Source organism: Homo sapiens, chromosome 9, assembly GCF_000001405.40.
Source record: "Homo sapiens chromosome 9, GRCh38.p14 Primary Assembly".
NCBI lineage: Eukaryota > Metazoa > Chordata > Mammalia > Primates > Hominidae > Homo > Homo sapiens.
Genome location: NC_000009.12, coordinates 107,658,490 through 107,672,453, shown reverse-complemented (window position 1 = coordinate 107,672,453; position 13,964 = coordinate 107,658,490). Strand labels below are relative to the sequence as shown.

At 43.7% G+C, this 13,964-nt stretch overlaps 1 long non-coding RNA gene and 1 pseudogene across 1 annotated transcript in view; one reads left to right on the top strand and one right to left on the bottom strand.

The window, feature by feature from the left end:
• Window positions 1-7,126: 7,126 nt before the first annotated feature.
• The window catches only part of LOC105376205 (uncharacterized), a 98,539-nt gene continuing 91,701 nt past the window's right edge, over window positions 7,127-13,964 (bottom strand). The window contains exon 9 of the long non-coding RNA XR_930217.2: window positions 7,127-7,277. This is a non-coding gene — a long non-coding RNA (uncharacterized LOC105376205). The remainder of the gene's footprint in view (window positions 7,278-13,964) is intronic.
• Window positions 9,208-9,314, top strand: RNU6-996P (RNA, U6 small nuclear 996, pseudogene; annotated as a pseudogene).

Below are 13,964 nucleotides of genomic sequence, written 5' to 3'. Positions count from 1 at the left end.
GCTGGAGGAAGCTGAAAGGCCTAGAGTCACCTCCACAGTCAACCTGGAGCACCATAACCTTAAGCAAACCCAGCCGGCAAGGTCCACAGTTCCTATTCCCACTTCAGTGCCCGGATGCCAACAAATTTGTCAATAGCACTTCTCCACTGCAGTCTCTACCATTTGTCCTTCCCCAGACTCCTGGCTCCATATTGGATAACGAAAGCAGAGGCCCAGGGCAATGGATTATGGATTCCAAAGCAGGTGTTTGCAAGTCTCCCCACTTTGTCTGTTCAGCCCAACTGTGTCCCTTCAGGGCTAACCCTGGGTTCTGAGTCCCACACAGACACTGTCTCTGACCACTTTCCCTCAAGTGGGACAGGACACCCTCCACTGCAGCAGTGACAGCTACCATTTGCTGGCCACACTCTGTATCTTTTCTCACTTCATTTTTACCATTGTCCTTTAAGGAGAGTACCATTACCCATATTCTCCACAGGAGGTAGCTGAGACCCAGAGAAGTTCAGTAACTTAGTCAAAGAGCTAGTAAAGAACAGTGATGGAATTTGAATGGAAGCCTCTCCATCACCAGGCACTGCCTCCCATCAAGTCATTGGATTTGCAAAGCATTCAGCACATGGAAAGGACTCAATAAATAAATGCTTGAGACTAACCAAAATCGGTAGTCAGCAAAATTGGAAGTGGGTTTAAAATGTTATGATACATCCATGTAACAGAATACTACTCAACCATGCAAAATGATGTTGTGGAAGAAGGTACTGATGCAGAAAGGTGTTCTTGATGTTGACTGAGTGAGGCAGCATACAAAAGGGTATGTATATTATAATCCTATTTGAGTACAGTCAGCCCTCTGTATCTGGGGGTTCTGCTCTGCATCCATGGATTCAACCAATCCCAGATCAAAAATATTTTAGAATCGGCTGGGCGTGGTGGCTCATTCCTTAATCCCAGCACTTTGGAAGGCCGAGGCAGGCAGATCACTTGAGTCCAGGAGTTCGAGACCAGCCTGGCCAACATGGAGAAACCCCGCCTCTACTAAAAATACAAAAATTAGGGGGGCTGCCAGGCACAATGGCTCATGCCTATAATCCTAGCATTTTGGGAGGCCGAGGCGGGTGGATCACCTGAGGTCAGGAGTTCGAGACCAGCCTGGCCAACATGGCAAAAGCCCATCTTTACTAAAAATAAAAAAATTAGCCGGGTGTGGTGGCGGACACCTGTAATCCCAGCTACTTGGGAGGCTGAGGAAGGAGAATCACTTGAACCCAGGAGGTGGAGATTGCAGTGAGCCGAGATCGCACCACTGCACTCCAGCCTGCGTGATGGGACCGAGACTCCATAAAAAAAAAAAAAAAAAATTAGCTGGGCATGGTGGCAGGCACCTGTAATCTCAGCTACTCGGGAGGCTGAGGCAGGGAGAATTCCGTGAACCTGGAAAGCGGAGGTGACAGTGAGCCAAGATCATGCCACTGCACTCAAGCCTGGGCAACAGAAAGAGACTCCATCTCAAAAAACAAAAAACAAAAAACAGGCCGGGCGCGGTGGCTCACGCCTGTAATCCCAGCACTTTGGGAGGCCGAGGCGGGTGGATCATGAGGTCAGGAGATCGAGACCATCCTGGCTAACAAGGTGAAACCCCGTCTCTACTAAAAATACAAAAAATTAGCCGGGCGCGGTGGCGGGCGCCTGTAGTCCCAGCTACTCGGGAGGCTGAGGCAGGAGAATGGCGTGAACCCGGGAAGCGGAGCTTGCAGTGAGCCGAGATTGCGCCACTGCACTCCAGCCTGGGCGACAGAGCGAGACTCCGTCTCAAAAAAAAAAAAAAAAAAAAAAAAAAAAAAAAAAAACAAAATTAAAATAAATAAATAAAAGGATGGCCTTGTTTGTATTAAACACATACAGAGTTTTTTGTCATTATTCCCTAAACAATATGGTATAACAACTATTTACATAGCATTTACATTGTATTAGGTATTAAAAGTAATCTAAAGATAATTTAAAGTATATGGGAGGATGCGCATGGGATATATGCAAATACTACACCATTTTATCTAGATAAGGAACTTGAATGTCTGTGGATTTTGGTCCTAGAACCAGTGCCTCATGGATTCGAAGGCATAATGGTGTATCTATTGTCTGGCCCTATGGATAGATGTGTACACACACACACACACACACACACACACACACACACTACAGAAAAATACACCAAAATGTCAACAACAGATTTATCTTTGTGATGAGATTGAGGGTGGTTTTTGTATTTTTCTTTTTGGATATCATAATTTCAAAAGTTTCAATAGTAACTCTGGCACATCTCATCTTGGATGATCACACCTAAACACCACTGGGAGACTGCACAGAAAGAGGGTGTGTGACAAGGATAACAGATTGTTTTATTTTGCCTTTTTAAAAAAATGTCTCATGAGTGATTTCAGTGTATCTCAGTCTTTTGTGCCACCAATCTAGAACACTATTAATTCCAAGAGTCCAGTGATTGAAATGTGGAAGGAATTAGGGCTTCCCAAAACCAGGATTTTTGAAGATACTAACTAGATTTGCTCAATGTCACTCATTGTTTGTTTCTGTTGGATGCTTGGGAGCCTGTTTATTTACGGTGAATCCATTTTCCTGGGCAGCTGACAATGTGGGGGAAAAACAGAGAAACAGGCCACGAGAGCTCTGTGCGCTTCATTATCCTTGATGTCACTACTGTGAAAGGCTTAGGGGTCCAGAAGTACGCAGTTGTCTCAGACCCCAAGCTGAAGTAAAAGAGGCATATTCATTGAGTGTAAGGGATACCCCTGTGGCTGCACAGCGGAACTCATCACTTTTTCAACCTCCCCGGCCTTCCAGCCAGGCTCTCAGTTACCAGCAGATGCAGACATGCGGAAGGTCTGTCTCTCGCTGAGCTTCCTGAGCATTTTTTTTTAACTTTTTTTTTTTTTTTTTTTTCGAGATGGTGTCTCACTCTGTCACCCAGGCTGGAGTGCAATGGCACAATCTCAGCTCACTGCAACCTCCACCTCCCAGATTCAAGCGATTCTCCTGCCTCAGCCTCCTGAGTAGCTGGGATCACAGGCATGCCCCACCACGCCTGGCTAATTTTTGTATTTTTAGTAGAGACGGGGTTTCACCATGTTGGCCGGGCTGGTCTCAAACTCCTGACCTCATGATCCACCCCCCTTAGCCTCCCAAAGTGCTGGGATTACAGGCGTGAGCCACCGTGCCTGGCTGCTTCTTGAGCATTTTGCAAGGTAATTTTGTTTTTGGAATCCTAGGTTGGCCATCAGGAAAACAGAACACTAGGAAGAGCACAGCTACTGTCATCAGAAACACCTGGATTGACATTTCCACTCTCACGGACTAGCTGTATGACCGTGGACCAGCTTCTTATCCTCTTCTGAATTTCATGTCCTCCCTGTAATGTGGGGATAACAATGTGTTGTTGCAACTCCTAAGTGAGATAATCTGCGTAAGATGCTTTAGCTTCCCTCTGCTGCAGCCTGATATCAGTAGGTTTTCAATATGTGGCCGTTACTGTCCCATGAGCTGGTTTTCAGCCTGACTGCCTAAGGTAGGAAATGCCGTTGGAATTCTTATTAACTGGGTTCTTGACAAGCAGGAGGTTGTAGTCATAGGTGGAGATGCTGTGGCTTAGCCCAGAGTTAAGAGACAGCTCAGGTCGGGCGCGGTGGCTCACGCCTGTAATCCCAGCACTTTGGGAGGCTGAGGTGGGCGGATCATGAGGTCAGGAGTTCGAGACCAGCCTGGTCAACACGGTGAAACCCCATCTCTACAAAAAATACAAAAATTAGCCAGATGTGGTGGCGCGTGCCTGTAATCCCAGCTACTTGGGCAGTTGAGGCATGATAATTGCTTGAACCCAGGAGGAGGAGCTTGCCGTGAGCCGAGATCGTGCCACTGCACTCCAGCCTGGATGACAAAGTCCGACTCCATCTCCAAAAACAAAACAAAAGAGACAACTCAAACTAAAGCCACTTTTGAGGAATACCTCCTTGTTAACCAAGTACAACATAGTTACCATAAAAACTATCTGGCTAGATAATAGAGATACTCAACTTTTGTATCCTACCTTTCTCAGTCAACATCAAGAACATCTTCATGTTGGGACCCACTCTTCTACATTATTTTGCATGGTTGAGACACCACACAGTCGCAGGACATGAAGAAAAACAAAGGCAAAATAAAACACCATGTCATACTTGTTGTCACATCCTCTCTCCACGCAGCCCTTCTGATCATGCCCTGGTATGTGCTTCTGAGACTAGATAGGCCAGCGGTGGCTCAAACACCCTGAGACAGTCCGAACTCAGCTGTGCGCCCACCCCTCTGCCTCAGCCCTTATTCTGCCAACTCAGGAATAGCACAGACTGCTTTGACCAGACTTAACGCAGTCACCTTGGAACACAGTGTGAGGCGGAGGCCGCGGGACAGAGTGAAACCATGTTCTAAAATACAGCAGATTTTTAAAGAACAGCCAGGCAGGGTCGAAGGCAGGGAGAGGGGCTGGTCAGGAAATGCCAGTTTAAAGTTAGCTCTGACCTATTAATCAGCAGTGGGACAATGATGCAGTGGGGGGCGGGAAAGCTGGACATGTGCTCGCGCCAGATTTATGGGCCCAGAACAAAGGATGGCCTGCTCATTCAGAGAGTCTCTTTCCCTTTTCCTCTGGCAAAATGAGGACATTGTTTGATAAGCCAAAAAGAACAAATATTCCAAAGACTGAGGTCATTTCCAGAGATGCAACCAGTCCTGATGGGGATCCATACACCCTGGGGCGAAGACGAATCCTGCAGGGGGTTCTCGGACCAGCGCAGTGGGTGCATGTCATGAAAGAGAAACCACAGGCCCCTCTCCTGCGCTCTCGAAGAAGCTGGGGCCACCTGCCTGAGGCCACTCTGAAGGTCTCTGAACTGCTCAGCCGAGCCCCTTGGGATAAGTCCAGAAGCTTTTCCATGCAGACTGAACACATAATCCCTGCCTCCACCTAGGCTCTGCAGGCTTTTCTGGGAAGGTCTTCCTAAGCATGGACTGCCTAGGATACTGTTGATTTCAGCTTCCTCTCCATCCAGAAGAGAGTCTTGTTTCAACAGCTGGTCTCATGTCATCAGATTAGGAGAGAAGGGGAAAGTGATTAGGAAGGAAAGAAAAGAGAAAGTGCTCAGCCAGGCAGCTGGATTACAAAAGAAGCCAACCTCGTGGAGAGGAGATATTGACTCTGCTTCTCAGAATCTTTCAGAGTTTGGGAACTATCTGTGACTTCCCAGCCCCTCCTTTCTTGGGGTTGCCACATTTCACCAGGCGCTGGTTGCCTTGTACCTGGCTGGACCTTCCAGAGGAGTCACCTTGACTCCTGTTTTGCTTTCCTCCAACCCAATATCCACACAGCCCACAGCCAATTGGGATGAACTTTCTCTTTTTTTTTTTTTTTTTTGAGACGGAGTCTCGCACTGGAGTGCAGTGGCGCAATCTTGGCTCAGTGCAGCCTCCGCCTCCCAGGTTCAGGTGATTCTCCTGCCTCAGCCTCCCAAATAGCTGGGATTACAGGCACCTGCCACCACTCCTGGCTAATTTTTTGTATTTTTAGTAGAGACGGGATTTCACTATGTTGGCCAGGCTGGTCTTGAACTCCTGACCATGTGGTCCGCCCGCCTCTGCCTCCCAAATTGCTGGGATTACAGGCGTGAACCACCACACCCAGCCCTTGGGATGAACTTTCTAATCTAGATATCTAACCATCTCCCTCCTGGCTAAAAAACATTTAATTGCTCTCTAATGTCTTCAGAAAAGATGTGCAGAAACCTCAGCCTGACAACAGGTCCTTCATGTTGTGGCCACATCTGTCTTTCCAGCTCGTGTGCCATCTCTTCCCAGCCCTCTCTGCAGCCTTTAGACCCATAGAATTATTTTCTCCTCCGTAAACATGACGTGTCCCTCCTGGAAAAATTCTGGCCGTTCTTTAAGACCTAAGTTCCAATGTTATGTCCTCTGTGGGAATGACCTACTGTACGTTGCTAACCAACTCACACACTGGGTGTGTTCTCCACTTCTTTGCCTGGGGTCCGATGCATGTGTTCACTCTGCTAATAATAATAATAATAATAGCATAGCACTTATCATAGGGCCTACACTAGTTAATTGAGGGGTCAGTTGAAGGCATGAATTCATTGAATGACTGCCTGAATGAATGAATGATGATCTATTAGACATGGTTAGCCCTAAGGCATGTGAAGGCCTATGCAAATGTTTTCTGTGGGGTCCCTGTATATATAAATAATTTGAGTTACCTAAAATCAATCTTTAAGCAGCATTCTGATCACCCAACTTCATGTGATACTGCAAAAGAAATACTCTCTGGCTGGAAGTAAAGATCCTTTCTCCCAGTAGCCCTTTTGGAATTGGGCCTGGTCAGGGGTCCCTGAGACAATCTCATAGGTGTAAACCTTAGAGGTCTCCTAGGGCATCTGGTCGACCCCCTGTACTAAGAAGCGAATTGAAGAGCATTCCAAAGGAGAGAAAACAGGGACAGGGGCTGACATGGTGGAGGTTGGGCCTAGAGCACCCTGTCTGGTTGGCACTGCTGGCCTTGGCCAGTCTTGGTCACTGGAAGGGCTTAGAAGATGTTAAGGACAGCATTCTACAGTACAAGACCCCTTCAAGACCAGCCTGGTCAACATGATGAAACCCTGTATCTACCAAAATTACAAAAACTAGCCAGGTATGGTGGCACACGCCTGTAATCCCAGCTACATGGGAGGCTGAGGCACAAGAGTCACTCAAACCTAGGAGGCAGAAGTTGCAGTGAGCCGAGATCGTGCCACTGCACTCCAGCCTGGGTGACAAAGCAAGACTCTGTCTCAAGAAAAAAAATTAAATAAATAAATAAAGTGCAAGACACCTGAGGCCCAGGACCTAAGGCAGGTGCTCCGCTTGCCTGGGTGGTACTGCTCCCAGATAACCATGTGATTATATACTTCATCATTCAACAAACATTTACTGAGCTCCTACTATGGACTAGGTACTGTATTAGAAGCTGAAGTCACATATTCATAGTTATTTATTACTATGAGTTAACATGTTATCTCTGCCAAGCAGTGAACTTAATAATAACACAATGAGACCTGCACAGTACAGGAGCGTAGTTATCATCTGGCCCATTAGGAAACTGAGCCAGAGAGGGGCTGTCATACATTCCATGAGCATCTACCACATGCCTACTCCTGGGTGTGGTTAGAAACGCAGCAAAGAGGTTTCTGAAAGAAAGCAAAAGACAATCCATTGATTTCACTTCCAAAAATAAACCAAATCGTGAGGAGAGAAAGAATAATGACTTAAAGCCTATTCCGAGGTTCAACAGATGATGGAAATAATGACTAAAATCATCCAAATGACTTTATACTGGGCTTTCAGTGATGGCAGCAGCAAAGCCGGCTGCTCAAGCCTGTCAGAGTAGAGCTGTGGAGACATGCAGCCACACAAGGGCCAGAAAGGACAATGGCTTCAACTTCTCTCCCTGAGCCTCTATTTCCCCATCTGTAGACCAGCCCTTCGCATGTTGATCAGGACACCCATGTGTTGTTGTGAGATTACAATGATACTAAAGATCATGAACAACCTGTATGCACTTAAAGCGCCTGCCCTGGGTTGCTCAGTAATAACGAAGAGGATGAAGGGTTAGTGTGTGGCTTTCTCTCCTAACCAAAAAAAAAAAAAAAAAAAGGGATGGGTTTCCGCCATGTGGTTTTTTATGAAAGGAGAGGAAAGCAAGAGAAGAAATACATCTCTCCTCAGACTAACTCTGAAGCTTTCTAGGGTTAACACCCCACCAGCCTTCTCGATTTTACCCTGTGCTCACTGTGCACTTGTATAGACATATGCACACACACAAACACAAATCCCCCCACAGCCTGACCCCTGATCATCCCAACCTCTAAGTCATGATTCTCAACCCAGTGCAATTTTGTCCCCCACAAAACATTTGGCAGCGTCTGGAGACATTTTAGGTTGTCACACCTAAGGGGCAGAGAGGGCGGCTTGTTACTGGCATTAGTAGGTAGAGGCCAGGGATACCACTAAACATCCTATAATGTCCAGGACAGTCCTTACAACAATGAATTATTCAGCCAAAACACTCAATAGTGCCGAGGTTGGAAAACTCCACTGTAAGCCTTTGTTTATGCTGTTCCTTCTATGAAAAGTGTTCTCTTCATTGCTCTTCTTATTTAAATCCGGCCGGGTGCGATGGCTCATACCTGTAATCCTAGCACTTTGGGAGGCTGAGGTGGGTGGATCACCTCAGGTCAGGAGTTCGAGACCAGCATGACCAACATGGTGAAACCCCGTCTCTACTAAAAATACAAAAAAAAATTAGCCAGGTGTGGTGGCGGGCACCTGCAGTCCCAGCTACTCAGGAGACTGAGGCAGGAGACTTGCTTGAACCCAGGAGGCGGAGGTTGCAGTGAGAGTGAGCTGAGATCATGCCACTATACTCCAGCCTAGGCAGCAAGAGCAAAACTCCATCTCAAAAAAAAAAAAAAAAAAAAAAAAGAAAAAAAATTCTACCCCTCCAGAGAAAGGAAATACACCCTCACATGCTGCTGGAGTATATATAAGCCAATATAACCTTTTTGATAATTTGGCCAGAGTTAACAGAATTATAAACATCCATACCCTTGGAACAAGTCATTTCATTGCTCACACAAAGTCCTATGCACAAGGATGTTTATTGCAGCACTGTTTGTCATAAGAAAAGACTAAACACAACCTAACTCATCCCTTTAGGAGGGGTCAGTAGCTTTAAATTATAAAGCTTGTATACAAAACAATTATCTGCAAGCCTTTAAAAGGAGTGAGGTCATTTCAAAGGGGTCAATAGGGAAAAATCGCTGAGATACACTGTTGAACAAAAATAGCAAGGTACAGGACAGCCTTATTAATATGTACCATTTGGTGAATGAGTAAAAGGAATATTCATACATATATTTTTATAAATATATATCTAGAAAATATCTATAAGCCTGTATAAAAAAAGTGTTAATAGTGGTTGCCTTTGGGGAGAACTTGGTCATGACAATTAGAAGATTTAGTTGTAATTTTATTATCCTTCAGACTCTTTGAATTTTTTAAACCATATTCATGCATTTCTTTTTGATTGAGGAAAAAAGATTTCATTAAAAAACGTTTGTGCTTGCTCCAGCAGCACATTTATTAAAATGAGAACAATACAGAGAAGATTAGCATGGCCCCTTTGTAAGGATGACATGCAAATTTGTGAAGCGTCCCATATTTTGGGGGCTTAATTCCTGGGTGATGAAGTAATCTGTAAGACAAACCCCCATGACATGAGTTTACCTACATTAACTAACTTTCAAATGTACCCCCAAACCTAAAATAAAACTAAAACAAAAATAGGAATATATCTTTATCATCTTGGATTAGGTAAGGATTTCTTTAATAGTACACAAAAAGAACTAACCCTTAAAAAATCGACATACTGGTTTTTGTTAAAATTGAGAACTTCTTCCATAGAAAGAGACCATGAACAGTAAATGGTTGACCCACATACTCGGAGAAGAGATTCACAGTCCATAAATCCAACAAAGGTCTTGCATTCATAATATATAAAAATAGTCAATATAATTTTTGAAAGTGAGCAAAAGACTTGAACAGACACTTTACAAAAAGGATATTCAAATGGCTAACAATCATATGGAATGATGCTCAAAATCATTAGTCACCAAGAAAATGCAAAATAAAACCATGATAGAATATCTCTCCTCTCCTGCCAGAATAGCTAAAATTAAAAAGGCTAAAAGTACCCTCTATATTCATTTCTCATACATTGCTGGTAGAAAAATAAAAAGGTACAACTACTTTGAAAGTTCTTTGACAGCATCTACAAAAGCTGAACCTTCCAACCTTACCTCTATAAACCTTCCCTGATTTACACAGGTTTTCCTTCTGATAACCCCTCTAATCTATGTATGTGTTTGCTACCGTTTAAAATCTGCTGTAAATTCCCAAACTTTCATTGTTCTATTTAACTGGGATTTGCTGAGCACTTACTCTAAATCAGACACTTGGGAATCTTACTGGGATTAAAGAGAGGACCTATTTTATAGATCCTTTCCTGCGGAAGCTCGTAGACCAGATGGAGTTGAAGATATACATACAAAATAAGAGATAGGCTGGGCACGGTGGCTCACGCCTGTAATCCCAACACTTCGGGAGACCGAGGCATGTGGATCACCTGAGGTCAGGAGTTCAAGACCAGACTGGCCAACATGGTGAAACCCTGTCTCTACTAAGAACACAGAAATTATCTGGGTTTGGTGGCGGGTGCCTGTAATCCCAGCTACTCAGGAGGCTGAGGCAGGAGAATCACTTGAACCTGGGAGCGAGGGGTTTCAGTGAGCCAAGATCGCACCACTGCACTCCAGCCTGGGCGACAGAGCAACACTCCGTCTCAAAAAAATCAAAAAAAAAAACAACAAAACACTAAGAGACAAACACCTCTTTAAACTAACCTTCTCTTCCAAACTAACTTCTACTTTTCGATCCCTGTGGCACACTTCTTTCATATTCTCACAGTGCCTGAATCTACAATGACCCAAAGTAGAAACTGAGTAAAACTCTGTTGAACCAATCCAGTTGATGTATATTCACAGATAGCAAGAAAGATTTGGGCTAGGTGAAAAGAATAGATTTTGGTCACTGACAGCTTCAGTAAGGCTTATTTAAAACCTAGCCCCACACTGACCAAAATTTTGTATCTATTAGCTAATTCCATTCTCACAGCAACCTGTGGAGCAGGTGCTATTATCGCCATTTGGCAGATGAGAAGCTTGAGGTCAAGACAGATTATGTTATTTGAAGACAGATTATGTTATTTGCCAAGGTCATATGCTCAGGAACTAGCAAGGCTGGGAACCAAACTCCAGCCAAACTCTCATTTTAAATTTTGGTTCTTGCTACTACATCACATGCATCAGAAACAGCCTAATACCACTCCAGAGAGGCGTGAATCTAAATTTCTCTCTGGCTTTGGATTTTTACAGGTGTTTTTATTCCCCTGAAATACTTGTGCAGCCCCATATTTTATTCTCTTCTCCTGTCCTCCCTTCTCATGGGCAGCACCTCTTCCTCCTTCTTTAAATCTCTGCTTTAATTTTAGTCTTTCCAGAAGGCCTTTTCTGATATCCTGGACAGGTTTCAGTGCCATGGCTGTGAACGACCCGAGCACCTTGTATCTTTCACAACCTATGATGTCATTAATTGTTTAAAGGTGGCTTCCCCTCTAGGCTGTGAACTGCTATCTTTCCTGTTCATTGCTGAATTCCCAATGCTTTGCACATCATAGTGTTTCATTATACATTATTGAATGAATGTAATAATTCATTCAATTATGTAATTATTCATTCAATTACTTTATATTCATAGAAAGTAAAAGCATTCTTGCAGGTCTAAGTTTGACCCTATTTTCTCCAATTCTGCCTATCAAGCAGTAGTAACGCAAGGTCAAAAAGGGAATAACTATATAGTGAGATGGATTAAGACTCATAGGGCCTTATCCTATTCTGAGACTTATTTAGTGAGAACTTTCCTCTCCTTTATGTAATTCAGCTCTACCAATTTTACAATAGCAGTATTATACTAGATTGCTTCGATACTCATGCCTGGCACCACCTTGCTCTGTTACTCTCAAAAGACTTGGCCATGCCCACAATTGACTTATGCTAGGAAGTCAGTTTTGCCTACATCCACCTGCATTCCCAGTTATGAGAGGTCAACTCCTATGAGCTTTGTATGGTTCAGTGGATATTTCTGTGGCTGGAAGGTGATGCATGGTGATGAAAGTAAAACTCATGAATGACAAGCATATGACCACTAACAATGTCCTGGTATGCTTTCTTATAATTTTCAGTGGTTCTGAGCTATTTTCATTTAGTGCTGCCTGATCTGCCACATCAACTTTGGTCCAGCTGCTCCTGGAAACCCCAAATTTTGCATGGTGTTGCAGTTTTGAAAAAAGTTCTCTGGGAAAAACAATTAGAATTACATTATTGGCATTCCATTAAAAATCTGCCTTGTAAATAATTAAGGATGCCAGAGGCCATATGGCCTCATCCAGTACAGCATCACTGTCGGTGGTCATGCAATTCATGCTTAACAGCCTCTAATTATGGAGATCTCACTACCTGCGAGACAGCGTATTCCGTATCTCACAGTCTTAATTGGGAGAAAGTTGTTTGTTATTTTAGTAAAAATCTGCCATGCTGCAACTTTCTCCCATTGGACTGATTCTGTCTTCTTCATAGATGTCTAATCCTCTTCCATATGACAACCATTACATATAATGAAGGATGAAAGGAATGAATAGAATTGCTATGTAAAAATTGAAAACTTTAATAAGCAAAAACGATTAACCAAAACAAACAAGCAAATGACCATGAAGAAGTTTAATTGACACACTGGGGGAAAAATGTATGTGTAACATATATAAAAGATAAAATGTCATTACACTTACAAAAAACTTACACAAATTTATTCAACAGAAAAATGGGCAAAAAGTATTAACTGGAAATTCATAAATTAAGAAATACAATGGTAGGCCGAGCATGGTGGCTCATGCCTGTAACTCCCACACTTTGGGAGGCCAAGGCGGGTGGGTCATTTGAGGTCAGGAGTTCAAAACCAGCCTGGCCAACATGGTGAAACCCCACCTCTACTAAAAATATAAAAATTAGCCAGGCGTTGTTGCAGGTGCCTGTAATCCCAGCTACTCGGGAGGCTGAGGCAGGAGAATCGCTTGAACCTGGGAGGCAGAGGTTGCAGTGACCCGAGATCCTACCCTGGAACTCCAGCCTGGACGACAGAGTGAGATTCTGTCTCAATAAATAAATAAATAAGAAATACAATGGTACTAAACATATAAAAGAATATTCAGGCTGGTGTGCAGTGGCTCACGCCTTTAATCCCAACATTTTGGGAAGCCAAGGCAGGCAGATCACCTGAGGTCAGGAGTTCGAGACCAGCCTGACCAACATGGTGAAACCACGTCTCTACTAAAAATACAAAAATTAGCTGGGTGTGGTGGCATGCGCCTGTAATCCCAGCTACCCAGGAGGCTGAGGCAGGAGACTTGCTGGAACCTGGGAGGCAGAGGCTATAGTGAGCCAAGATCATAGCACTGTACTCCAGCCTGGGCGACAGGGCAAGACTCTGTCAAAAAATATATATATATATATATTCAAATGCACCAAGGTGCTATAAAAATATAAATAAAAACAAGATCATCACAGTGTGCAAATTGATTTAATCTTTCTGGAGGACAGTTTAATAACATCAAAATTTTAATTGTGTAACTATTAAATCCAGAAGTTTTACTCCTAGGAATTTATCCTAAGATAACTAGCCAAATGAACAATGATGTAAGTTAAGGATATTGATCTAATTGTTCACTTGTAATAGCAAAAATATTGAACAGTTAAATTTCTTTTTTGGGGGGGTGGGGGTGGGGATTGGAGTCTCACTCTGTTGCCCAGGCTGGAGTACAGTGGCGCAATCTTGGCTCACTGCAGCTTCCGCCTCCCAAGTTCAAACAATTCTCCTGCCTCAGCCTCCCGTGGAGCTAGGATTACAGATGTGAGCCACCACAACTGGCTAATTTTTGCATTTTTAGTAGAGATGAGGTTTCACCACGTTGGCCAGGCTGGTCTCGAACTCCTGACTTCAGGTGATCCACCTACCTCAGCCTCCCAACATGCTGGGATTATAGGCAGGAGCCACCCAACAGTTAAATTTCTATTAATAGGAAATTGGTTATATAAATTATGGTCAAAACATGCAATGAAATTCTAAATAGCTATTAAATGTGATAACCTAGTTGACACTGAAATATGTCCATTACATAATGTTGAGTAATTAAAAAATTAATATTA